The sequence below is a fragment of the Homo sapiens genome, chromosome 13, assembly GCF_000001405.40.
Source record: "Homo sapiens chromosome 13, GRCh38.p14 Primary Assembly".
NCBI classification, from domain to species: domain Eukaryota; kingdom Metazoa; phylum Chordata; class Mammalia; order Primates; family Hominidae; genus Homo; species Homo sapiens.
This window is the reverse complement of record NC_000013.11, coordinates 102,374,733-102,402,651: the sequence shown is the minus strand read 5'-3', so window position 1 is coordinate 102,402,651 and position 27,919 is coordinate 102,374,733. Positions and strand designations below refer to the sequence as shown.

Genomic DNA, 27,919 nt, shown 5'->3' with positions numbered 1-27,919 from the left:
GGAGGGAGAGGGTCGCGCGTTGGGTCTGGGTTTGGGGCTGGGGCTGGAGCTGGCGGGTGGGGAGACTTCAGGAGGGGCCCTAGCAGAGAGACTGCAGTGACACTGCCCTCCCTGGGCTGGTTGAAGCATCTCACTGGTGACGGGTCTGAAAGCACGTGGCTACGTCATGGAAAGCCAGTCTTTTCAATGCAAACTTCAACTCCTCCTCCTCCTCCCTCTAATGCCTGTAACTCACATCCGAGGCTGGGCGAGGAATCCGGAGGGGAGATTTTCCTCATGCTCACGGTTGTTGGAAACTGGAAGAGTGAGAGGAAGGAGGAAGGGGATTTGTGGCGCTCTCTACCTACTACAAGACTGACAAGGGGAGGGGGCACCTAAATTTGCATCTTTTCTTCGTGGTGATTGAGAACTGCAGGTTCAAACCGATCCCACTGAGCACTGGCGATTGATTATAAAAAAAAATCGACACTGGGAGAAGGGAGGCTCTGTCTTCGGCTGTCAGACTCAATCTCGGAGGTGGTATTGGTGTGTGAGTGTGTGTGGTGGTGTTTTTTTTTCTTTTTTTTTCTTTTTTCTTTCTTTCTTTCCTCTTTTTTTTTTTTTCCTTCTCTCCTAGGGGCTACACAATGGCAGTCTTCTCTCAGTAAGATGAATCCTGCTTTGCCTTCTGCAGATCCACCCATCCTCATAGCGATCAAGTAAAAAGGCTATGGTTTTCTCTTTGGGGATCTTTTGTGCATTACTGTTCTCCCTGATTAGTTTTGATCTCAGTTGGGATCTCTTTGCTTTTCTGTTTGGCTTCATGCTGAAAAAGGATTTTTTCTCCAACCCTTTGGTAATAATCCGGTGGTGATCGAGGGGGGATAAATCATTCACCCTGGCCGAAAACAAACAATCACTGAGAAGTCTCAAAGAAATATACCACGTGAGGGGAAAAAACTGGGAGAAGATCCGGAATATTATCGTTTTTCCTATGGTAAAACCGGTGCCCCTCTTCAGGAGAACTGATTTCAAATTATTATTATGCAACCACAAGGATCTCTTCTTTCTCAGGGTGTCTAAGCTGCTGGATTGCTTTTCGCCCAAATCAATGTGGTTTCTTTGGAACATTTTCAGCAAAGGAACGCATATGCTGCAGTGTCTTTGTGGCAAGAGTCTTAAGAAAAACAAGAACCCAACTGGTAAGCGAAACATGCATCATGTTATGTTTTTCCTCATAATAACCTGTCTGTTGCTCATCGAGCTAGATCTGCAGTTCTGCTATGCAGGAAGGCAGGGGAAACATACCAGGAACCAGGACAGTGTTGCATATAGAGGTGTTGCATGAATAAACAAGTAACAGCTGGATCGGCGTCTACGAACCCCAAAACCATTATTGGCATCCCTTGGCTGTGACACAATCCATCACTAGGAGGGAGGAGGAAACTTTTTTTTTTTTTTTAATGTATTTGGTTGCCTATGTTTGGTGGAATAGTGAAGGGCTATGGCTTAAGGTTGTGCCCCAGGCAGCTGAAGCTTCGGTAGTTGCCAGGAAAAAGAACCGCGAGCTCCCCTTACTTCTGCAGCAGGTTCGAGGGACGTAGCTGGGTTCCGAGAACCTGCTCTAGACTTTCTGATTAGCTTGCACAATATTCGCCACCACGATCACCTTTACCAAAGTAAAAGAGGCCCCCTCCCTCGCGGCCCCGCTCCTCCGTCAGCCCCCGCGTCCCTCCCCCGTCCAGCTCCGGGTGCCCGAGCATTAACTCATTCCCCCTGTCTGCCTCTGACACATCCTGCCACCGGGAATACTTGAGCAAGGCTTGCGCCGGGAGGGAACCCCAGACTGAGAGGACAAGCCCAGCCCCTCTAATATTTGTAATTGAAGTCCCCCCCTTTAGAAAGCGGTGTCAAAGCCCTGCGTCGGGGTCCCACAGGGCCAGGGGTGGGGATGAGCCAGGCCGTGAGTTCCTGCTTTTAAGCCTACTGGTGATCATGCGCCCCGATTCCAAAGGGCTCCAACAAGGGAACTTGCAGTACATTACATAAGAAATGCAAATGCATCTGATTTGGGGAGTCGGATCCCAGGGGTTCCCGTCCCCGCGTCTCAGTCCGAGGCGATTGGGGGCGGCCGCGGAGCTGTGGGCGAGCAACCCAGGGGAGGCAGGCTGGAGGGCTGCATGGTGGTGGCGGCGGCGCTGGCGAGGAGGCTGGGCGCAGCCTTTCCCGGAACCGCTCACGCTGGCAGCCGGGAGTGTGTGGCGTCCCCTAGCTCCGTTCAGGGTGGAGAGGGACCCGGGGCCGGCTGTTTTTGTCTGGGGTTGTGTCTGAAGGAGGGAGCGGGCAGATCGGCCGTCCCGCAGTGGCAGCCCGGGCTCTGGAAGCTCCTGACGCTGGCACTGCGGTGCAGTAGATCATGGCTCTCCACGGCCTCCCTGACGCCCTGGGCTCTGCCGGGGGCCGCACTGGCACCCAGAGCCCCAGCGACTGGGGCAGCAAGTGGCTGCTGCCCTCCAGCCTCCGAACCTTGCCAATGCAACGTAGCTGGGGTGGCGCGCTCCGAGGGGTCTGCCGCCTGCGGGTGCAGCGCGAGGCAGAGGAGGAGGAGGTGCGGGTGGGCGGGGACGGAGGCGGTGGGTGCGGAGGCTGAGACCGTTTGCGGCCACCATTCCTGCAGCAAAGGAGAAACTGCGAGTTGTTAGACAGTCTAAAAGGGCAGAGGCTCCTATGCTGGGGCGGAGAAGATTGCCCCCAGCTGGTACTTTGGGGTGGCAATTGAGGCTCTGGTAGTAGCCTCTGGCTGCTCCGTGGACTCGGTGCTGCAGTGGGCTCTGGGCTCTGCCCTGAGTCCTCCTCCCTGTGTTCTAGTTCTTACACCGTTTCTATTCACCCCATCTGTTTCCTCCTCCTCCGTCCTTTTACCCTCCTCTCTTCTTAACTCCTCAGCGTTTAGCAACTCTGAAACGACACACCAACCTGAGAATTGCCCAAGGGGAAAACAGTGTTGTCACCTTTCCACCCGCATGTCTAATTCAGCTATGAAGTGTACCCCAAGATGTACTCCAAGTCCCCGACATCAAACCTAAAACTTGCTGACGCTTGGTTCATACAAAACCAACTTACATCTGCAACACTATCTCACAGCCTAATATGAAGACCCTTTTTGCAAGACTTCTCAAAGTGAGAAAGGCCAAGGGCTGCAGTGGGAAGGGCAGGGGTGACTGCTTTACACTGCAAAAATGGTGGTCTTTTGAACCCTTCTTGTGTCTTTCTGTGAAAAGATTTAACTCTCTTCTGAGAAAGGAATAGTGCAAAAACATTTTTTATTTAGATGTGACCATTTGTCTTAGGGACCTTGAAGTCAGTCCTTCCATAGTACTGGAGAGTGGGAAATAATTTAGCACAGAACAGTAAGTTTCTTTGTAGGCCTTTATAATTTTTTTTGTAAACAATTTTACCGGAAACACTAAATTTCTCCCTATACACGAGTCACAATCTTATTACACTTCCTCCATCCCACCCACTTTCATCTCTCTGGAATAGTTTTTCCCCCCTTCCAAGGCATTTTTGGAAACTGTGGAACAAATGACAATTTATTTTTAGAACAATTCATTTTGCAGCTTATGAATGCTAAAGTATTTGGGTATGAATTGATGGGCTAACTCAAAGTGTATCTAAGAACATTACCAACTATTCTAATAGGATAATTTAGTGTTAGATAACCAGGGATATGAGTTCCAACCAGGGAGTTGGAGCATTTAGTATATATATATATTATATATTATACATATATATAATATATATATTTAAATGGGACATTAATGTGTCACATTATTTATCTTACCTTCTAAAAGTTTTAGCCTGTTAAGCTTGAATCGAACCCATGCCAAGCCATTCCCTTTCACTATTGTACTTCGTGAGTTCCATTCTCCTGCTAGTAACATAAAGCCTAAAATCTTTTGCAGGTTTTTGATCCCAAAATAGCAGTAGAACTAAAAAGTTAATTGGGTAATTAAAATGAAACAAACACTAAAATTCTTTTAACTGTTACAGCCAAAAGGAACAGATTGACTACTACCTATTATGTTATCTTAAATTTAAAAAGAGAACAATTAACTGGTTTCAAACTAAGAAACTTGGGAGAATACTGCCAAATACCAGTGAATTTGGTGTAAAGCACCTATTCTTATTTCAGAGATAAATAATAGGTTAATTTTCCTTCCTATATCTTTGGAAGTTATGAAATAATTTACTGATTATTTCCAATTCGCTAAACTGTCAACAAGTGTAGGTGGTTCAAGCATTCGTGGAATTTCAGAGCACCGCTATATAATCAAGTTGGTGTGAAAATAAGCAGAAAATAGAGTTACGAATTTAAGGACAAAGTTATTCATCTACCCAAAAGTTATTGATTAGCTCATTATTAATACTTATATAAGAGGTCTTCATTAAATAGTGTTTTGGGCTTGTTTTATGTAAAATTTAACTGGAAGAGAACATGAAAAATGTGTTTGCACAATATATGCTTTTTAAAATAAATTCCAATAGCTTAAAAGTCCTGGATATAAAGTAAATTTGCTATCTTCATTAAAACACCCAGTCTAACAACTATTATCAGAGAACACACACACACACACACACACACACACACACACACACTCTTAAATGTCCTACTTTCCTAGCAGAGCAACAGCTATGCATTTAGAATAAATGTTACCTGCTTCAACTTTCACTGTAGGAGTCATGCAAGGTGACTTTATTTTAGGCAAATCATTAAATAGGGAATACTAAGTCCAAGGCATTTATTTTGCTTGAAGGAGGCTTCATAGGTTTCTTTAAACCAGTATGATAGTTTGGATTGACCAATGTATATAATAGGCCCGTTCTGGAAATAATCTAGGTCACTGCACTTTAAGCCAAGGGTACTAAGGAAAGAAGTGTGGTTGAAAAAAGAAAATCCACAATAAACATAAATACTAAGGTCATGTCATTGCTGTCTCTTCAGGCACATAATGTAAAACAAGCAAAGGAAGCCACAGACCCTCAAATAGATATACCCACTCAACCACACACAGGATATCCCCAAACTTCCATGGCTTGGTAGGATTTTGGAAAACACAGATTTTAAGATAAATCATAATCTAAGAGGATTTTATTGAGTACAAATGTCAGTGCCCAGTGTTAGTACGAAGCAGACGCCCTAGACCTAGTTCTGCACAGCACACTGAGAACATTCCATCAATTCTCTTTTTCTGAACTCAGTCTCCCGCTCTGTCGTGTAACTTTGAGGTGGAACATGCAGGGCTTGGTAGGACCCATGATCACTTTCTATTTCCTACTTGTCTGGCTGCCTTTCAGCTCTGCTTTTGCCTTTCACTAAGCTGTTTTAGGTGCCAAAACACCTGGTATGCCACTGTTACTCATTTAAATATACGTTTTTTTAAAAAGCTACTTGCTTTACATCTAGGGCTGTCATGGTGTTTGGAAGTGAGAAAATAGGAAGAGAGGGAAGAAGAGTGAGCACTTTTTACTCCCCTCCTTCTCAGCCTACCGACTCATCCTAGGTTCCAGTAGAGCTGGGTGAGCCACAAATGGGCCACAACCTCTGCAAGTCTAAACACTGAGTATATTTCAAATGAAAACATCAAATTCAGACTGCACGTCTGGAACAGCAAACAGATGTAAGCTGCTTCTTCTAACATGCTTGGCTGTAGAGTGGGATTCAATGTAGTATTAGTTGGCCTTAGACTCCATCCAGGAAGCTTATTTACTGAGGTAACAAAATGGGTTTTGTAGAGCAGTGCCACTCCATGAACCAAAGGATGGCATTTTAGGTAGGCTTCGGAGTACTGCCTTGTTGGGAGAGTAGATTTTTCTTTTTTGAAATGTATATCCCAGTTAATAAGTGTAAAATTCAATGCATGATAATCTAAACTTAGTTTTAACAATGAAGATGACTTTGGCTGTACAACTTGTTCTCATCTTAGACAGCATCCATAACTGAGAAAATTTGTTCAAATGATGCAGTACTTTCTGAAAGTGCTAAAGCTAATTCTATACTATACTTCACGTTTCCTACAATGAACCATTCCTTTAAAATGTTCGAACCCAGTCTTCCATGTTTTAGCAACACAAACATTGGAGACTTTTGTGAAGTGTTTTTATACATATGGTAACAAGGACAACAACCAATGTTTTCACTCCTTTGCACATTTTGGCATCATACCTCACTCAAATTGACTCATACGCCTTCTATAAATACCACGTAGATGTCTCAAAATGGAAGCATTTATTCAAAATAGTGTCTTTTGCCTTAAGGGGAAACAGTTGGGCTGTTTGAACAGTCTAACAGGAGCTCTTCTCTTCAGTGTTAAACAAGTCATTGCACTGTGCCTATTTTTAATAAAACCTTTGAGCCCAACTCAGTATTACCTCCAGGAGGGACTGTGGAGGTAATACTATTTACCTCCTGTAAATAGGGACAGGGAAACACCTATTTACACATCTGCCTGCTCACTGCCATAGTCTGTGTGGTGTTCCTTAGGACTTGTGTACCAGGTACAAGGTTTAGTTATGTGTTGAACCCGGGTACTGAAGGGCATGGAGTTTTCTGAGGGAGACTTCTCAGCTCCCCGTATACCTCTAGAGATGCAATAGCTCTTTTGTATCAAGACCAACTATGTCCTGATGTTTTCCCTGTGTAGTTCTCTAGCTGCCACTATTTTTTTTACTTTGGTCAGAATGTAAAAGGTAGGATGATGAAGAGAAGGGAACAAAAGGAGGGATTCTTAGGGACTTCCTAAACTTGAAGGCAAAAAGGATGAATGTCGCAGACATGTTTTATAGGGAACAGTGAAGTTCTTGTTTGATTAGTCTGGTAACATCATGTAAGAAAGTCACCCAACAACTGCTGGGCACCACTGCCTTTGTCACTGTCTCTTGACAAAAACTCTGTTCACGACACATGGTAGGTTTTCAATACACTTTAATAAAATAGTGAAAAATAGGTATCTCTAGGATAGTGAACTATGGGACTACAAAGGGCAGGACGATACATTTTACTTGGTTAAATTCGCTTAATGCTTACTCCTTTCTCAAAGCGCCAACCAAGAATTTGGCTACTAAATAAAGAAAAAAGCTGTTAGTGGCTCTTTATCCGCCACGATAGGGTGCTCTGAAACCCGGTCCTGCAGACATTCCCTTGGCCCACATTTTATAGCTTCCTTCTCAGTCTCAAGGCCTGTAGTCTACTGTTCACACTCGAGCCTCTCGCAAAATACACAAGCTCAAAAGCTCATGGCGTTCTCCCCATCTGGCATTCTCGGCCTTAGAATAGCAAACGTTAGGGCACCATTAGGTTCATAGTTGCCAGACCCTTCATTTTCTTTTTTAATCTTTAATTTTCTTCTTAACAAGGAAGACATTCCGCAAAAAATAAACTCCCTCTTTTGAGCTCCTTTCTCTGAAGATGGTAACTGGAACTCTCATTAGTAAAGAACCTCGAGTTCCAGTTGCTTTGGACGGAGTTTCTCGCTTAGTATTTTGCTCTTTGGCAGTTTGAAAAGCAGTAATCTTCCAACTTCGCAGCTCCCTGCACTCGCGCCTACCACCCTGATCTATTTGGCTTTCTCCTTTTTGGAGCCACTTTAAAAGGTGCAGGGTGCTGGGCCGCTGTGGCCTCGGGCTGAGAGGCGGGGAGTTGGTGTCCGGGACCAGAAAGTTTGGCAGAAGCCACGGCTCTGGGCCCAGGCCCCGGGCTTCCAGAGAAGTGTGTCATTATTTGTTTTCTGCAAAGCCGCGAGCGGGCCCACGCTGCAGCTCTGCCTCCAGGCGTGGAACCCCTCGGTAATCCGGGTGAAGCTGGGTTCCGAGTGTGGACTGCTTCGGCTCTGAGGAGGAGGGAGCCCAACGGGCCAGGCACGGGCTTCCTCCTGGCTTTACCCATTGGCCCAGAGTCCCCGGTCCCGCCGCCGCTGCCCTCTGCTCACGGGGACCGGCCATCACCGCGCTCCCAGCCTCGGCTCGCCGGGGGCTTCGCTACGCAATGCGGCGGAAGCGGCCCGTTGGAGCCGCCGTAGCGCGGGAAGTTTCCGTTGCCACGGAGATGACCTCTGACCCTAGGGCGTCTCTGGGACCCGGCAGCTTGTGCTGTTGTTGCTATGGAAACCATGGCGGCCGGAAGCCGCCGCGCGGGAGAGACTTGGGGCGCGGGTCGGGGCTAGGGCTCCTGCCCTGGCAGAGATCTTCGCTCTTCCGTGGTGGCCGGGGACCGGGCAGTGAGCGGCCGGCTCTGCCGCCCGCGGGGCGCGGGTTTGCAAGGTCACTCCTCCGGCGTTGACGCGGGGGCACCCCATGTGCACTGCTGGACCTGAGGGATGGGAAAGCCACAGGTGGCTGCCTTGGCCCTCCCGGTCTGGCCTCCCGCTAGCGGGCGCCAGCTCTGGACCCGAGACCCATCTGAAGGAAAGGGAAGGGAGCTGGCGTTGCTGGTGATTCTGCCCAAGCTCAGGACTGGGAGAGAACGAGCCAAGTTCTGGTCTCAGCTTACACACTAGCTACTGGGAGACCCTGGGCGGGTCCTGAAGTTTTCTGGGCTTCAGTCCCCTCGGCTACTACAAGAAGGATATTGATTAGAGTAATCCCAGATCAGCCCCAGCTCTAATATTCTAGGTTCCCATAACGTTCACACCCAGTCCTGATTGTAAGTAAACTTCCCTCACCCCTTCCCTGTATCTCTCCCGGACTATGTTAACTATATATTTAAATTGTACTCTAAATTCAGAGACCATCAGAGATAAGAGGTTGACCTTAGCGATCACAAACAACCTGTTCCTTTTACAGGTGTGGCAACTCCTTCCCAGTGGAGGAAGCGACTGTTCCAAGAGCCAGTTTTGGAATTGTAGGCACAAACACAGGTAGAAGCTTTGAGCCTTGGGTGAAGAAACGCGTATTTTACTGGTGACACTAGGAAGAGCTCCTCATGCGCTTCATAGAATTGTGTGGTTGGTGCTGAAATAGATGGCATTCCATTTATCCATTATATTCCCCAGATACCTTTTCCTTAGACAGTTTTAAGATTTTCGGGGTAGGGGAGGGTATCTTCACTAGTTTATTTTTCCTTCTCTCATATCCATGCTATTGGGAAAAATCTTTCTTAAATCTTTTTTATAAACCTCATTTGTAAATTAAGAAGTTGAAAAAGATTATTTTCAGAGTTTATTACAACTCTGAAATTTATGAATTATTTCTTTTAGGTCCACGTGCTTTTTATCACTTTTTCAGTAACTACAATCTCAAAAAAACAAAAAACAAAACTTAGTAAACACTTAAAAAGTGCTGCTGTGTTTGAACTGTTGATGCTGGAGATACAGGGGTGAAGAAGAGTTCTTCCTTCAAGGAATTAGCAGGAAAGACAAAAGACAGGATCAATTATGATGTGGTGAACAATTCTGTGTAGGTGGACCAAGGTGCTATAGGGCCAAGGAAGAGGGGCATGGAAAGGTTTCTGGAGGGAATAAAACTCAGACTGAGTCATGAAGAATGACTAAGAGTTAGCCACGTGGTAAAGGCACTGGTTAGGCTGTCAAGGAAGAGAAAGAAGCATACTTTAAGCTTTGGGGGCGTCAAAGATTGTGGTGCAGACCGAGAATATCAAGTACAACTGAGAAATAGAGGGTGTTTCTAGGGAGTGGCAGGTAGTGAGTGGGGTTGCAAGGTAGTGAGGCACAGATCGTGAGCTCTCTTCTGTGTCATGATCATATCTACCCTTTAGACAACCATTATGACTACAGCGTGGAAAACAGCTCTGGGTTGGGCAAGGTTGAAGGTGGAAAGACCAGGGAGGAAGAGCAGTGAGCAGTGGTGAGCGGTCCAGAATAAGGCAGTGACAGGCACTAGAGAGGAAGTGAAGTCCATCCATCTTAGTGGCCAGTTTGAATTTGGGAAGGAAGTTGAAGGAGGAGTCTGGAATTTTCTGATTACAGGTTTTTGATTTGGACAGTTCTGGTGAGCTAGTCTTCTGGCCATTTGCCAACAGAACACTTCCATCTTCTTGAGACATGGTTGGCTGTCTTCTGACTGTTTATATTGAGGGGCCGAGGTAGCTTTTAACAGCAAGTAGGAGACTTAGACAAGCTTCTCTTTCTAGATTAAAATTTAAATGGACAGTTCTGGGAGAGTTGCTGTGGGATAAAAAGTTCATCTTGATTTCAAACCCGAAAATCCTTAGGACTGGGAAAAAATGCTTTACAATAAAGATATGCCAAAATGATTTTTTTAAACGATTATGTACAATTCTTTGTCAATAGCAGATGTTTTTATGGACACAATACTTTGTTCAGTTTGAGGAGTCAAGTAGTGCAATTAAAAGCCAAGTTTTCAGATTTACTATTCAGGTCTGGCAAGAAAAGAGAAGGAAGTATGAACTTTATTGAATTTACATATGTAAGTTTGCACACGTGCTTTTTTAGATAGGAATGAATGTAGTTAAAATGCCTTTTTTTCCTCCTGTAGCATTTTGTTGTCTGCACAATTATAGTGGATCACTGAAGTGTGTGGTAACCTTATCTGTAATGCTGCATCTTAAAGGTGTAGCTTGGGAGGGATTGTAATATCTGTTCTTTCCACTTCCTGTGTGGAGCACATGGTATAATATTGTACTTTAAGAAATATGAACATAAGAAGGCTTAAAGACTAAAAGAGAAATCATATCTCATAATTGTAGTCCTTTTTGTTTCAACAGCCACTTATTTGTAGTCTGAAACTCATCTTCTTTAGTTGTATTGCTGCTGTATACCAGGTGTTGTAACTTTTAAGCAAAGAAAGGACCCTGTCTGCTAGGAGAACTGAGTCAGTTTTCTACGTAAGCACTCAGTAGTAACCATCATTTGGCCTTAGCATTTTATTGTTGGGACAAATTGAAAGCAGTAACACAATATGCTCTTTCCTCCTTCATTGCTAAATGAGTTGATTTGTTTCCTGAGAAGTGATGTTTTCCATTAACTTGATTATTTTTTCTTGTACCTTTAAAAATTTTTTCAACTCACATGACAAGTAACATAAAATACCTCACATCTCAGACAAATAATAATGACTGTTAAATATTGGAAATACTTTTAATGAGATCAGTACCAAATGTTAGAGATATTTTAATGATGCAGTTAAGAAATTTGATATAGGATAAAAATTTTACATCATTATTGCTTATTATTATCTCTTTTCTAGTTTTCTTTTAAAATGTTGGGAATAATTTTAAACAACACAGTACTGAGGCCATTCTGGTACATGTGTGGCAGATGTGACTCTGTATGGGGGATACTAACTGTGACATGAATGCTATAGTTAGTATGTGGTCTGATATGCAGCCATAAAGTCCGCCCAGCTTTGTCAGACCGCTTGCCCTTTGTTGTAGCAAAGTGCTTTTCCAGTACTGATATTTCATCCCTTTGTCTCCTTCTCCCTGTATTTGTACTATCCGATTCTAGATTTTGTCCTTTTACATATTTTTTAGTCATGTTTTTCAAAAATTTTGTCATCAACTTACTCTTCAGGCAAGATCAGGATTAGTATTCAATTGGATTTACCTCTTTTACATTCATTACATTAGGAAAATAGACCCAAAATAATAAAATAGTTGTCTGAGAGTAAATGAGAAACATCTGTCTGAACTTGAAACATTTACCCAAAATGATATTTATTCGGCTTAAGTTTTTTCTTTCTGTACTTCAAATTAACATGTAAAAGAACGGTGATGTGGATCTACTGCATTATTTGATTATATAATTAAATGACTTTTAGGGCATGGTAAATCTCTCACCTAGTTTTCCCGTTAACGAATGTATATTACACTTACTAGATTTTTAAAATTATATTACTCTTTTGCTTTAACAGAAATGTTCTGAATTATTTTGAATCCTGTGTTATTATTAGTTGATAACAACTAATCTTTAGAGAATGCTTCTATATACTAGGCACTCTACCTATACTATCTAATTTCATCTTTAAAATCACAGGAAAATCTTTTATACTTCTGTTAAAAATTATGAAGCCCAAGCATGAAAAGATTAAGGAAGTTACTGGAGAGTACCTAGCTAGTAACTGAAAGATCTGAGTATAAAACCAAAACCAAGTAATCTGACTCCAGAATACATACTCTTAAATCCCTAAATTGCAGCTACCGCTCTAGAAAGGATGTTGAACAGAATGCTTGTGAAAGTGATCAGTATTTCTCCTAATGTTTTTGTGAATTATTCTGTCCTGAAACTAAAAGGGACTGTGATATATTCACTGTTTAGCTATCTAGAATTTTTAATGCTTTCTTAGTGAGATATAATTTATATACATTAAAATGCACAGTCTTAACTTTATAGCTTGATGTATTCTAACAGTTGTGTGCATCATTGTAACCACTACCCTAGTTAAGATATGGAATATTCCTATCACCCGCCCCCAAAATTTTTCTTATTTCCATTCTGTTCCTACCCATCCCCACTCTGAGAAGCAACCGCCATTCTGATTTCTCTCCCCTTAGTTTGACCTATAGTAGAACTTCATATCATTAAATCATGAAGTCTTCACACTTTTGAGTTTGCCTTTTTCACTCAACATATTGTTTCCGGGATATGACATTGCATGTTAGACGTGGAGAATTCAACATGGTAGCTTCTGTTTTATTTTTTAAACCGGAAACTCCTAACATCTAAAAATTTCAGGAACTACCAAGGGTCTCACAGTTTACCCAGCTTGCTAGTCTGCTGCAGTTACATGATGCTGGCAGAAGACAGGGGACTCCTGGGTCAGAGACAGGGGATTTTATCACTCAGAGCATAGAAGACAGCATGAGCTTCATGTGGTTGTCAGTTCCCTGTATGTCCCAAAATCCTTTCAGGGGCAATGCTGAGTGTCTCAGGTGGATGCTTGCTCACAGCGGATTTGTGTCATTGCTCAGTGGTCTGTAATGCAGCCATATCAGGAAATTCCCAATCTTTTAAGGGGCTTCTAGCAAAGCTGCCTAATCTTTCTCTGCAGGGAGGTGTTATCTTTATTATCCTGGTCAGGAAACAAATCTGTCCTCTAACCTGGAGGGAGGCACCATCTCTAGATGACAAGGTGGTTTGTTATGCAAATATTTTTGCAAGGACAGTCTGGTACAAAAGCTGTTAGAAGATGTGCAGTAATGCCATGAGAAAATTCTCATTTAAATCTATTTCTGCAAGGTAACTCTTTCTTCCTTTTCTATTTCTCTTGGCACTGCCATGCTTACTGCTCTGTTGATGTATTTACTCTTTAGAAAAATAACTGTTATTTGGAAATTATCTTAAAATCGATCATGAAGTTTTGAGAAGGTAGTATACATCCTATATGATAAACTTATCTGCATTTATTAAGTAACTAATATGTGATATGTTAACATTACATGTTAGTTACTGGGGGAGATTTAAAACATTCTATAAAGGTTTGGTCTTTGACCCACAAGTAATAAAACTAAATGTATGGAGAATACTAGATATGAGAAAGAATTCTGCTAGAAAACTCATCGAGGATGAAAGGGGAAGAAGGGGAAGAAGGGGAAATCTTTTAGAGAAGCATGACCTAAGTTGACTCTTGAATGTGTGTTTCTATTGGTAGGAGAGATAAGCATATTCTTGGCAAGAGGAGTAATGTGAATGAAAGTCAAAGGCTGGGATTATTTATGGATAGAGTGAAAGGTACATGATTGGGAGTTATGGGAAGTTAATGGAATCATATTTTAGCGGCTTAGTGAAATCATATTTTGGGGTCCAAAAGCCTTGTAGAGGAATTAGCTGGGATGTGGTGAAAATTAGTGAACTAGAGAACTTTTCCAAAAAGAGAAACGACATGATTGAGAATGGCTCAATTATAATTGGGTTGTATAACTGATTGTGGGGAGGGGCAGTACTAGGAGGAAGGAGGGATTTTTGTACTAAGAAAGCAATAAAATGAAAATGTCCTTCTGTTAGTTCGAAATGGGAAACAGGAGCTTGGATGAAGGGATGGTTCTGGGTATGTAATATGAGCAGGAGAGAAATTGCTCAGTAATTAGGAAGGGATGAATCGAAGGCATACGTTGAGAAATTGTGGGCCAGGAAGGGCATTGCTTTCTTGGAACCTGGAAGGATGCGTGAAACAGAAGGTGTAAATGAGAGACATGGGAGTCAACTGTGGACTGTGGTGCCTCATGGGAAAGTGGCCTCCATCGACTTTTGGAAGTCATAGATGGTTTGTTGAGAATGTGAGATAGGAAATCTAGTTAGCAGGTACATTTATGTTGTTGTTACATGTAGTTGATAGTTGTCTGAGCATACATTATACATCTTTCTATACAATTTGAGCCTACTTTGTAGTTTTAATTTTCTTATGCAATTTGGAGTCACTTTGCTAGCCCTGATGACGTTACTGGCTTTCTAAATAAGGGGAGAATGGCTTTGACTACTTTCTTCAAGATACACTGAACAACTTTGTAGTATTGACATACTCTTCTTAGCAGCATTTTATTTCCCTGCAAAATGATGTTTTCTACATTGAGTACACATGGACACAAAGAAGGGAACAACAGACCCCAGGGACTACTTGAGAGTGGAGAAAGAGAGGAGGATGAGGAGTTGAGGATCAAAAAACTACCTATGGCCTGGGCACGGTGGCTCGTGCCTGTAATCCCAGCACTTTGAGAGGCTGAGGCGTGTGGATCATGAGGTCAAGAGATCGAGACCATCCTGGCCAACGTGGTGAAACCCCGTCTTTACTAAAAATACAAAAATTAGCCGGGCGTGGTAGTATGCGCCTGTAGTCCCAGCTACAGGAGGCTGAGGCAGGAGAATCGCTTGAACCTGGGAGGCAGAGGTTGCAGTGAGCCGAGATTGTGCCACTGCACTCCAGCCTGGCGACAGAGCGAGAGTCCATCTCAAAAAAACCCAAAAACTCTCAAAAAACCAAACAAAAAAAAAACTGCCTAGTGGGTACTATGCTTATTACTTGGATGAGAAAATAATCTGTACACCAAACCCCTGTGATACACTATTTACCTACATAACAAACCTGCACATGCACCCCTGAACCTAAAAGAAAAGTTTAAAAATATAAAAATAAATGATGATGTTTTCTAGTAAAGCCCTGCAACTAAGAAGGACTGAAAATGTCATAGGCTATTTGGATATAAGGACTTTTTTTTTTTAACCAGTTTGGACCATTATTTTTTCTGTAAGAATTCCAGCATGCTGCTGTGGCTCTAGTGTTGATCATATGTTTTAGTAACCTTTATGATCATTGCTTAGAGGAGATACACATTAAGGAACAGTTGGCTAAAAGCACAACTTTTAGAAATAATTTTTGCTTTCCTTACTCTTTTCTGTTATAAAATTTGAATTGTGTTTCAAGGGGTCAGTATCTGGCTCCTGGATGTTTGAATGCTTAAGAATGACACAAAATTTATAAAGTGATATTTTAAGGAAGGTAACTTTTGTGAAAATGAGAGCAACTAAATTCTCAATGGCTATTCAAATTTTATAAAAATGTAACTAATAATGCCTTATTCTCAGCAGTTGCAATTTCTTTGATTTAAAACTAGGATCCTTATTGGAAATCATGGTTTATAAGACTGGTATTTATAGGGCCACAAGCATGATTCATACAAGAAGGGGAAGGGTCCATTTTAGGTGGTGATAGCAGTAGTAGACATACTGTGGTGGGAGCAAATTGGCAGCACAAACCTGAATTCTGTCATTTTAGTGGGTGAGTGAGTAGTGATTTAATCAAACTTTTCGCAAATGAGTGCGAATGCAATAGACAGCTGCACAGTACTAAATCCTGCAGCATTAAATAAACGGTTTGAATTTTGTATGAACATAACTTTGAATGAAAAAGTAAAATGTACACCCTTTCCATGTAGAGGTGCCACTTCGGAGTCACGAACAAATCTGTGTCATATGGAAATGTGCACAGTTTCCTACCCAGCCTCTCTGGTGCCAACTAACTTGTATTTGTGAGAGCCTGAGGAAAGGAAGTCAGGGTCATTCAGTTCACTCTGTGTCTTACAACTTTACTCTCGCTTTTGTTATTGAAAGCAGAAGGAGGCATTATGTCAGCGTATCTTGATAACAGTTTTTGCCTGACTATGCTTTTTCCTTTTAGTGTTACAGTTTTAATGTAAGACAAATCTTTGACCATTTTTTATGTATCCTTTCAAATTTATAATTGGTAGAAATACTTTTAAATATTTTTGTAGGGGCCAGGCGCGATGGCTGACACCTGTAATCCCAGCACTTTGGGAGGCTGAGGCGGGCAGATCACTTGAGGTCAGGGGTTCGAGACCAGCCTGGCAGACATGGCAAACCCCATCTCTACTAAAGATATAAAACTTAGCCTGGCTTGGTGGCACATGCCTATAATCCCAGCCACTTGGGAAGCTGAGGCAGGAGAATCACTTGGACCCAGGAGGCAGAGGTTGCCGTGAGCTGAGATTGCTCCACTGCACTCCAGCCTGGGAGACAGCAAGACTCCGTTTCAAAAAAAAAAAAAAAAAAATTACTGTATATTTTGTTGGGAGCTATTCTTATCTCCCTCCCCTTTAGAATTACAAGAAAATTAAGGAAAATAATAAGAGTTAGTACTGTTAATAAATATGCCAGTGTAAGTTCAAGGAACTTCAAAAATTGTGTAAAAGTGACGTTCGGGTAAAACACATCATATTTATTTCCTAAACGCTATATTACATTATGGCAAAATTGCTGTATTTTAAGCTGCTAAATAGTGAAATACTGCTTTAACACAGTACTTCACAGGTTAAATTTTTGTTTGAGTTTTCCCAATTTGAAAGGCAAATACAAAGCAAGTTGAATGTATTTATGGGTGTGTATGTATGCCAGACATTTAGCTTGGGACAAAATTTTAAGTGTTTGTGCACTTACCCCATCTGTTGGCCATTAGAATCTTTCACCCAAGAGAGCTACTCAGAAAGGATTGATATTAATAGTAATTTGAAGACAGAAATAAATAGCTTAGAAGTGGGTTCAGTACAAAAATAACTTTTTGTGTTTTAAATTTGTGATTTTGAAAATAAAAAATGATATTTCATATCCACATCAGTTCATTTCATGGCTTTCAAGTAGCTTTTGTTGAGATTATTTTAAATTAAAATTTAGATGCTGAGATCTACAGAATAGGATGTAATTGAAGAACAAGACATTTTTAAGTATGTCTGTTTCCTGTATCAGGTTTACTAGTCAGGCATCTTGGTTATTGGTATTTATTCATTGGTACAGTATAACCAGCTATTACTCACTTCTTCTCATAAGTAAGTAAGCCACATAGATAACTTAGAAGTAAGTGTTGGAATCTCCAAATGTGTGGTATATTTAAGTTACATTATAGGTTCTTCTATAGGTTCAGGGTTGTCTGATACCATGATTTTTCTGTATACTAGCAGGTATTAGAAGAAAGGCAGAAAATAAGATGCAAAAGAAAAAATATGTAGTCAGTAAGTCTTTAGGCTATTCAAAACTTCACAGGGAGGAAACGAAAAATGTTCTGAATAATTCTGTTGGCTGCTGTCTCCATATGGTCATTGCAGGAGTTTTAACATATCGTATATCATTGATTTCTATTGTATGTGGTTAGACATACTTGACAATAGTTGCCAATACTTTTACCTTATAGTCTCCTAAGGACTGCTATGACTCTTTCATATCTCCTTATTAATCTTTTATGTAAAAGAACAAAAGGTGAAAATCTCTGGTGTAGGTGCTGTCCTGCATTATTTTTTGTTTATTTTGTTTGTTTGTTTTTAGTTTTCCTTTAGATACTTTGTAAGCAGGGAGGAGATTCAAAGGTTTTGATTCCAAGACTTCCTTAAAAATTAATCAACTTGTGATGACTTTGAGAGCTGATCTCCAAGTTGATCAGAAGCGATGGTTTAATAAAACAGTAAATAAAATATGTAGACTGTGGCATGTATCTGTAAGGGTAACATTTAACAGTTTTTTTTCTGATTAGTATTGTAGGGTACAGTAATATCATAGAGTAATCTTTCATTTTTGTGGCTCTGATGCTATAGGGCTCAAGAGGAGGGCATGGCAGGCTTCCTGCAGGGCATAAAATTCTGACTGACTCACAAAGAATGATTGAGGATTAGTCGGGTAGGAAAGGCACAAGGTAATTGTTCAAGAAAGAGAAAACAGTAAACCTTAAATATTTTTAGGGGCATGAGAGAGTGTGGTGAGTACCAAGAATGACAAGTATACATAAATGAGGGGTAGGAATTTGAGTTGATTTGCCTTCCAGTAGACATAATGATATGTGAAATCTGAGAGTTTTACCTTATCAAGAATATTTATCCTTTGTACCTCCCAAATATACCTCTAGTAGTTCTTTGTCGTGTAATACAAGAGACAGATTTGCAGCCATTTTTTAATTTGCCACACATGATAGATAATATTCTCATGTCTAATGCAATTTTATAAATATTTTTTCCTACCCACAAGTTTTAACTTCCCTTTTTTGCTACATCTCAAAAAAAAATTATAAATCATGTAACAGAAATGCTACTAGAAAAATAGTTTTGAATACATTTTGATTATAGAAAAAACAAACATTGAAAAACACTGGAACTTTTTTATTATTAACAAGTTACTTGAATAACATCTTGCGTCTGATCATGGCATGTGAGTAATTGGAACACCATGACTGAGAACTGATATTACATTTTAACATATGAGAGTTGGTCTCCTTTTAAAAAAGATATTAAAATTTTTTGTAACATTTTTAATGTGTGATACCCCATTTCAGATAGTTGATTTCACACCCAACCCTTCCTGAATTCCTTCTACATGAAGGAGAGTGCGCTTGGCCCCATGGGTGATACATGAATCAGACAGGGTCTTAATCTTCCCAAGGGGATTAGAGGGCACTGGAAAGTTGGATAAAAATGAAGAATTGCTGGGGATGGTCAATCCTGGAGCTAAAGCAGTGATTGATAGAGGTGGAGGAATAAACGGATCTATCCTCATTCCCCTTTTTTCTCCCATTCCCTTTCTCTCCTTGTCACTGCCAGTCATGACAGGAGATTCTACTCATTGGACCAGATTAGGAATAGATTTGGACTGGAATATTTCCAAACAGAATGAAGAGTACATGGCTGTCCTTAGATAGCATTTGATAAGTTGGGTACATTTTTAAGTTGAAAAGATAGTAATATGTTGAAAATAGTAATAGCTATTACTTCTACAAAGTAGGTTATGACTGGAAATTGGTTTATTGTCCAACAAAGCTGATTGACAATGCTTTTAGGGCCTTTGTGCATTTTTTCTTTTAAATATGCTTACTTCACCACAAATAAACATATTTGTCTAATGAATACTAACACAACTTCAAAGAACTTTTTTGTTATTTAAGAAATCTAAAATAATTGATATAACAATTATTTTTATAACATATTTTTATGTAAGAAATCTAAAATAATTGGTATAATTGATCACAATTCTAGTTGTAATTGCATTTCTTAAGCCCAGATTGAGTTATAAATCTCACTTTTGTAACAGCTTTATTGAAATATAATTCATATACCATAAAATTTACCCTTTTAAAGTATACAATTCAATAGTTTTTAGTATATTCACATAGTTGTGCAACCATTACCACTATCCAATTCTAGAATATTTTCATCAACTTAAAAAAGAAATCCCATACCTATTAGCAGTAACTCTCTATTTCCCCATTCCCTATCCCCTGGCAACCACTGATATGCTTTCTATGTCTTATGAATTTGCTTATTCTAGATATTTCATAAGAATGGAATCATTCAATATCTGGCTTCTTTTATTTAGAGTAATGTTTTCAAGATTCAAGCATGAATCTATATTTCATTTTGTTTCATTATTGTATAGTATTCCACTGTGTGGATATACCCCTTTTTAAAATTCATTCTTCAGTTGATGGACATTTGGGTTGTTTTCATTATTTTACTACTATAAATAATGCAGCTATGAACATTTATGTATACATTTTTACATGGACATATGTTTCAATTCTTTTGGGTATGTAACTAGCAATGGAATTACTAGGTAAGATGATAATCTATGTTTAACATTTTGAGTGACTACCAAATGTTTATCAAAACAGCTGCACATTTTACATTCACTCTAGCAATGTATGAGGGTTCTAATTTCTCCATATCTTTGTCAACACTTGTTATGATCTGTTTTTTTGATAGTAGTAATTTTGGTGGCTGTGAAGTATGTCATTGTGTATTTGATTTGCATTTCTCTAATGACTAATGATGTTGAGCATCTTTTAGTTGCTTACTGACCAATTGTATATCTTTGGAGAAATGTCTACTCAAATTATTTGCCCATTTTTAATAGGGTTGTCTTTCTATTTTTGAGTTGTAAGAGCTCTTTTTGTATTCTAGATACAAGTTTCTTATCAGGTATATGATTTAGAAGTATTTTATCCCATTCTGTGGATTTTCTTTTCACTTTCTTAATGGTGTCCTCTAAAGCACAAAGTTCTTAATTTCGTTGAAGTCTAGTTTATGTGTTTATTCTTTGTCACTTACATAGTTGGTATCATACCTAAGAAATGATCTCCTAACCCAAGATCATAAAGATTTTGTCCTAAGTTTTTCTTAGAGAGTTTTAGCCCTTATATAGGTCTGTGATCTGTTTTGACTTAATTTAGTAGATGCTGTGAGGTAGGGGTCCAACTTCATTCTTGTGCCTGTAGACATCTAATTTTTCAAGGAACATTTGTTGATAATCTCATGGGACATGTAAATCTCATTTTGAATTGACATATAACCAAAATACCTTTTTACCATTCTTAATTTGTTTTACCAAAGAACACTCTAAAAATGTCCTGGTGTTTCAAAGAAATAAATTATTGTATATTACATGAAATGATAATAGGGATACTGTAAACATTTTTTCTAACAATGCATGCCTACTTTTACTATAGCTTTACTTAGAACTTTTAAAAAATTAATACTCTTGTGAAACATATAAGCACTTTCAAGAAATTAATATCCTCTTGAAACTAGAACATGTTTTAGCCCATTCCGGCTGCTATAACAAAATTCCTTAGACTGGGTATTTATTAATTTCTCATGTTTCTGGAGGCTGAAAAGTCCAAGATCAATGCACCAGCAAATTCAGTGTCTGGTGAGGGCTTGCTCTCTGCTTCAAAGATGGTGCCTACTTCCTGCATCCTCACATGGCAGAAGGGAAGAACAATCTTCCGTGAGCCTCTCTTACAAAGGCACCAATCCCATTCCTGAGGGGAGAGCCCTCATGACCTAATCATTTCCTAGAGGCTCCACCTCTTAATATTAATTGCATTGAAGATTAGGTTTCAACATATTAATTTTGGGGGAACGCAGACATTTAGACCACAGCAAACACTAGACTATTTGTAGATAATGGAGTGAGCAATTTTTATGTACAGATGGTTGCTGACTTAGAATGGTTTGACTTACTATTACTCAACTTTACAGTGGTATGAAAGCAATATGCATTCAGACTGCCCATACAACCATCCTGTTTTTTACTTTAAGTACAATATTCAATAAATTGCATAAGGTATTCAACACTTCATTATAAAATAGGCTTTGTGTTAGATGATTTTGCCCAACTGTAGGCTAATATGTGTTCTGAACATGTTTAAGGTAGACTGGGCTAAGGTAAAGATGATTAGTAGGTTAGGTGTATTAAATGGATTTTTGACTTACAGTATTTTCAGTTTACAATAGGTTTATTGGGACATAACCCCATTATAAGTTGAGGAGCAGCTATATTTATCTTTGATTAAAAATGGTTCTGACTCTTTATCTGTGTTTATTTTTCAAAGCATAGGCATTTCATTAATACACTGACAATATGGTGCTATATTTACTTTTAATTTGTCTACTTAGTTTTAAAGTTAAATGTAATGAAAGTCAGGATTCACTGTGAGATGTAAATTACACTTCTTGTATTTAAATTTATCCTGGTTTCTTTATTAAATGTCTCTTGCAAAACGTAAACATTCCTTGATTTGAATGTAATCTAAAGTTGTAACAGACCAGCCTCTCCTGCTGCAGCTCTCTGTGCTTTGTTAGGAAAATACCCGATTGAGTAGATTAAAGCCCTGTCATCATAAGTAGGTAGAGCCTCTCCTGAAGTAGCTAGACATTCTCAGGGTCAATCATCTGAGGAAAGTTGCAGCCATGAACTTGAACCCTGAAACTGGGAGTTAACTAGATAGCAAAAGGGACTTCATGCTCTGTTTCATACATTTCTTGGGTTTGGATATTTAAGTTGCTAGATATAATTGGGCATTTGGGGCAGGTTAGAGCTGAATAGGGAGGCACTCGTGCTGAACTTTAAACTGAAAACAGGTAAACTATATGCCTGTTCCATGACATTCTGTTTACTTGGAATGTCAGTTCCATGTATGTCAGTTCCATGGAATGTCAGTTTCATGACATTCCATGTAATGTCAGTTCCATGGAATGTCAGTTCCATGACATTCTATGTTTACTTCCTTTGTATTATATCTAAATATTTGGTTATCTTGCATTTAAGATTTCAGCCTTGCCTTGGCTGTGCTCTGAGAAATTAAGAAAAGGGACATTTACCTTTGCTTAAACCAGAGTGTTAAATTCAGAGAGTATTAAACTCAGAGCCTCACTCACTATTCTCTCTTTTGAAGCCATCATTAGTGAGCTATCTAAAGGGGAAGATGAGTCTCTGGAGGCTTGAATAAGGCTTTCAGAGACCTAGCTGGCTTTCCAGTGAAAACTTTGGAGGCTCTTGGTTTATTTTCTTAAGGAATATGGCAGTTTTTCTCTTAAAAGATAAACCTTTTGTTTTATGATAGCAAAAAATATTTTCTTTTCAGTTACATTGCCAGAGAAAAGTACAATTATGTGAGATGAGTTGCTTTACCTTTCTAACTTGTTTACTCGTTAGATAAGTAAACAAAGTTGGCCTTTTAGAAGAGGTAGACTTGTTAACATGAACCTGTTAGGATGTAGGTGTTCTTTTGCCTTAATCTATATGCACGTGTTACATTCAGAAACATAGTAAATGTTTGACCACTGAACTATCTCTCTTTCTCTCTTTGCATATTGGATGTGTATATGTGTGTTTGTGTGTATGTATATATATATATACTTTAAACTGAAAGTTTAAAAATATATATACACACACCCATATATAAAGGTATATATATATATACATACACATATATATAAATATGTGTGTGTGTGTGTGTATGTGTATATCTATGTTACCTAAGTGTACAGGTAAATCAAATGTAGAGAATAAAACATATGTACCTTTGCTGTTTCTTTACTTTTAGTGTCAAGACATACTGCTTGATGCCTTGTGGGTTTGCTGAATGAATGTAGTTAGAGTAATATTGATTTCCTTGAAAATAATAGTGGTATGTTTCTAATGCCTTTAATTTAGATATCTCTAGCCCAAACTTGAAAGTAGAGCTCTTTCAGTACAAATAACCACTTTATAGAGATTTTTGATGATGTTATTATAATGTTAAATAATACAGTGTTTAAAAATTGGAATTTCGATTTGCCTGGGTATTTCCCTTTAATAGACAGTGTCCTCCAGAATGAATGAAAAAGCTCAATCTTTTATGTCCTCCTTCATAGGCTGGACAGAGCTTTTGGTACAACTCCTAGACAGATGATCGTACCTTCTTTTGGCTTGTACTGGTCAAAGTGTGCCCAATCCTGTTGATATCGATGGGCCAGTTTTATGTAACCCTGTGTAAAGGCCACTAAATGCCTCTGTGTTTTCATTGTCTTACTTTGCAATTATTGTTAGATAGTCGTCTGTTTTAAAAATCATTTTTGTTGCTTTTTTTTATTGATAAAGACAGCACTATATGAACTTTGGAGTTAAAGATGAAAATTCTAGCTGTAATTTCTCTGTGCCTCAGGATTCTTTTTGTTTTTTTGTTTTGTTTTTGGTAGTAGAGGGAGAATACCGCCTTTAAATATGTAGTGATTAAAAGAGAAGATATATATATATATAGATAGATAGATAGATAGATAGATAGATAGATAGATATAGATATATATAACATACTTAATGTAAAACCTAGAATGTAGATATTTATTTATTCTTGCCTGTCCATTTCCTTGTCAGAAACAATGTTAGTTTCTTTCCTTCGTTCTCTGGTAAATGATCTATGCTGAAATTAATATTTTTATTTGTATAGTATTTTAAAGCTTTTACCTATAGCTAGTAGCATAGGGCTTATAAATCAATGAAGTTTTTAATTTTTAAAGACTTTATATTTTTGGAGCAGTTTTTGGTTTACAGTGAAACTGAAAGGAAGACATAGAGATTTCCCTTATACCCTTTGCCCCCACAGATCCATCACCTCTCCATTACCAATATACCACACCGGAGTGGTGCATTTGTTACACCTGATGAGTCTACACTGACACATCATCACTCAGAGTTCATAGTTTACATTAGGGTTCACTCCTGGTGTTGTGTGCTCCATGGGTTTAGACAAATATATAATGTATTCACCATTATAGTATCATGCAGAGTATCTTCACTGCCCTAAAAATCCTTGTGCTTTTTAAAAGTATCCAAGTTAAGCTTGAAGGTAGACATATTAGAGGCCTAGTAAGAGCCTTGTTCTGTCACTGAGTCTTCTTTTGTACCTTGTAGGCCTAACGAGTTCTTGATTTGCAAGCCTTTAGGACCTAAAGAAGCCTAGAACAGTTTGTGTTTTGCCTACAGTGAGACTGGCTATAGACAGACAGTTCTGAAGTCTTATATTGTTCTTGAATTGTAAAGAAAATTGTCAAGTTATCTGTGCTAGAATTTTTTTGTTGTTGTTGAGACAGAGTTTTGCCCTTGTTGCCCAGGCTGGAATGCAATGGCACGATTTCAGCTCACTGCAACCTCTGCCTCCTGGGTTCAAGTGATTCTCCTGCCTCAGCCTCCTGAGTAGCTGGGATTATAGACATGTGCCACCACACCCAGCTAATTTTGTATTTTTAGTAGAGATGGGGTTTCTCCATGTTGGTCAGGCTGGTCTTGAATTCCCAACCTCAGGTGATCTGCCTGCCTCAACCTCCCAAAGTGCTGGGATTACAGGCGTGAGCCACTGCGCCTGGCCCTTTATCTGTGCTAGAATATTAAGATACCTGCTTTTCTTGTATGTACTCTAATATTAGTCATGTGTATATGCCAAAATGGATATTTTAAAATATTTTCTAGACTTTTATAATGTATGTATTTCACTTCATTTTTACTATTCTCTTCCCTAATTATTTACACCTAAAAATAAATATCTCAAAAACTTTGAGGTGAATTTTATGGTCATTCCCATTCTCTGATGCTTTTTACTCTAGTTATAAATGAACAAAGCACATATTAAAGCAAACTAAGTATTTAAGCCTTAGCTTTGCTATTGGTGATTCTGCTCACACCTGAACACTATAAATAGCCTGTCCTGTCAATTTTTTATATTCATGCAAATTGTAGCCTTTCCTTTATTCCTACCTGACTACTTTGTGCTCTGTCATTCACTTCTTTTTCTTAGGAAAAAAAAAAAAGGTGACCTAGATATTTGAAGACTAGCTTGAATTTGCCTTTTTCAAGGACCTTGTAGGAAACTCTCTGCTCCGTCAATAAGCATCCTGTCTTGGGTGGTAGAGAAGTTGGGCCCAATAAGCGCATTTCTCACTGCAGGCTTCAGGTCACTGGGGCTGTTCCTCACACTTGGTGCCCATGGGCTTGTGCCAGTGACAGCAAACAACAAACTTCTCCCTTTCTTGGGAATATCATTGGAAAACATGGAATTCCAATGTGCTCAGAGAATATGGTTTAGAGAAACTTGCAAGTGAAGATGACCTGATTCAAAATGTCAATCAACTAATTAAATAATTGATTTCCTATTGAATATTTAATATCCCAGCAGCAATTAAACTTCATTTAAAGTTACTTCATACTTCCTTGGATATTTTATTATTTAGAATGTTACAGAATTATAGCGAGGGTTTTCTTTTTCCAGGAGAGGCAATGGGTGAAAGGAAATGTCTTTTAGAGAGCTGTAGACCAGACCATTGTGTATACTACTCACAAAGGAGGCCTGGGCTATAAAAGCCATGATGACATCATCAGTGTCTGACTGCTAATTGAAAACCTGGGAATGAATGAGGGCATGGAGGAGAGGCAGACAGTGGAAGGAAAAGAGCACAGAACAGGGTTGTATTAGTCTGTTCTTATACTGCTAATAAAGACATATCTGAGACTGGGTAATTTATAAAGGAAAGAGGTTTAATTGACTCACAGTTCCACATGGCTGGGGAGGCCTCATAATCATGGCAGAGGTGAATGTGGAGCAAAGTCACATCTTACATGGTGACAGGCAAGAGAGCTTGTGTAGGGAAACTGCCATGTATAAACCGTCAGATCTCGTGAGACTTATTCACTACCATGAGAACAGTATGGGGAAAACTGCCCCCAGATTCAATTATGTCCACCTGGTTCTGCCCTTGACACATGCGGATTATTACAATTCAAGGTGAAATTTGGGTAGGGACACAGCCAAACCATATCAAGGGTGCTTACAGATTCCAATAGTTAATGAAATAATAGGCCCAGCCACGCATTTTTATTGACAGTAGAACCAGCAGATTTATTCCTTAAAATTTCGATGTCAATGTGGAGATGTACTCTAGATACTACAGCTTCAAAATTAACAGTTTTTTCATTTCAATTAGGTTTGAATTCAAGAAGATACATTCAAAGAAAATATATATTAGTACATCCTATTCTTTTGGTTACGATTTTTGATTTTACATGTGCAGTTTTAAATTTGTTGTTGATCTTTTTAAGGAACAAGATTGGAAAAACAAACAAGGCAGATAGCTTTTATTGATACTTTAATTGCTGATTTGGGTTTGGGTTCTCTTGAGACTAGAATTGTTTTTTCTTGCATGAAAAGAAACTCTCATGAATATTTTTCCTTACTGGAATTTGGAAGATATAACCTAAAATAGGAACTAAAGTTTATATTTAAAATTGTAGCCTCCCATATAAGCAGTCTTATTTATTGAATTTCGAGTATTTATTTTATTTCACTCAGAAGGTGGGTTTTATATGTATGATTTTAAATTTTTTATTTGTAAAGCCTTGCCTAGTCTTCTACAACGTTATTAAATAACGATAAATTGAGTCAAAGAGTTGATTTCCAGTCATTAATTTACTACAAAGTCTTATGCTTTCAGTTAAAACATTTTATTATTTGTATTACACTATATACTGGCTGATTTGATCACCGCTGTGTCTTGTACACTGTGCTAGAAATCAGGATACAGGAGCACAAAATACTTAATCTTGGCTCTAGCTGAGCACCTGCCCCTGGATCGATCCTGCCTAGTAGTGAAGATTAAGACAATATGGATGTAGATTTCATTTGTGGGGTGTAACTGTGGCAGCAGAGGTATTACTTTTTACCAGCATGAGTGACCTTTCCTATCACTGTGTGTTTCCAGTTCCATTTGGGTACAGTGAGCTGAAATGATTGGCCAGATGTTATGGCTCATTTTTCTAAAGTCTCCCTTTAACTAGTTGTGTTACATTACTCTGCCTTTTTGAACTCTGTTTTGTTTAGTTCAAACAAACAAAAAGTTTAGTCAACCAAAGCAGAATTTAGCAAATGTGTATTTATTAATCAAAATTCTCTCACATCTCACATATTCTTTATCTTGCAGAATCAGCATAATTCACTAGCAAGCCTGTATTTTAATGAAATTGTTTCAGGTTACTGGAAATTTAGTTAAAATTGCATAAACTACCTATATCTCTTGAATCACTTAAAAATTTACTTTAGCCCTTAATTGAAAAACCACCAGAAGAAATTGATTTGGTTTTGTATAACGTAATTCCTTTTGGTGAATGTTTAG

The 27,919-nt window shown here is 39.2% G+C and overlaps 1 protein-coding gene and 2 long non-coding RNA genes across 17 annotated transcripts in view, besides 1 other annotated feature; 2 read left to right on the top strand and 1 right to left on the bottom strand.

Annotated features, from left to right (window-relative positions):
- FGF14 (fibroblast growth factor 14) overlaps nt 209-27,919 on the top strand; it is a 691,640-nt gene continuing 663,929 nt past the window's right edge. For 4 of the 15 annotated variants that reach the window (NM_001321939.2, NM_175929.3, NM_001321941.2 and 1 more), the window contains exon 1: nt 604-1,181. In NM_001321939.2, the coding sequence (NP_001308868.1) occupies nt 974-1,181 (208 nt within the window). In that variant the 5' untranslated portion in view covers nt 604-973. Of the gene's footprint in view, nt 1,182-8,820; nt 8,895-27,919 lie in introns of all 15 variants that reach the window. The other 11 variants (NM_001321944.1, NM_001321943.1, NM_001321947.2 and 8 more) reach the window with 10 other exon arrangements.
- Nucleotides 6,947-8,074, bottom strand: FGF14-AS2 (FGF14 antisense RNA 2). Its single transcript, NR_036487.1, has one exon. It is a non-coding gene; the product is annotated as an FGF14 antisense RNA 2 (long non-coding RNA).
- Nucleotides 7,998-8,227: an enhancer, noted in NCBI's record as "active region_7964". NCBI's record gives its function as "activates an Ori minimal core promoter by ATAC-STARR-seq in GM12878 lymphoblastoid cells {active_cell/tissue: GM12878}" and the evidence as "EXISTENCE:reporter gene assay evidence [ECO:0000049][PMID:35858748]".
- FGF14-IT1 (FGF14 intronic transcript 1) overlaps nt 8,133-27,919 on the top strand; it is a 102,200-nt gene continuing 82,413 nt past the window's right edge. The window contains exons 1-2 of the long non-coding RNA NR_036486.1: nt 8,133-8,298; nt 8,821-8,894. This is a non-coding gene — a long non-coding RNA (FGF14 intronic transcript 1). The remainder of the gene's footprint in view (nt 8,299-8,820; nt 8,895-27,919) is intronic.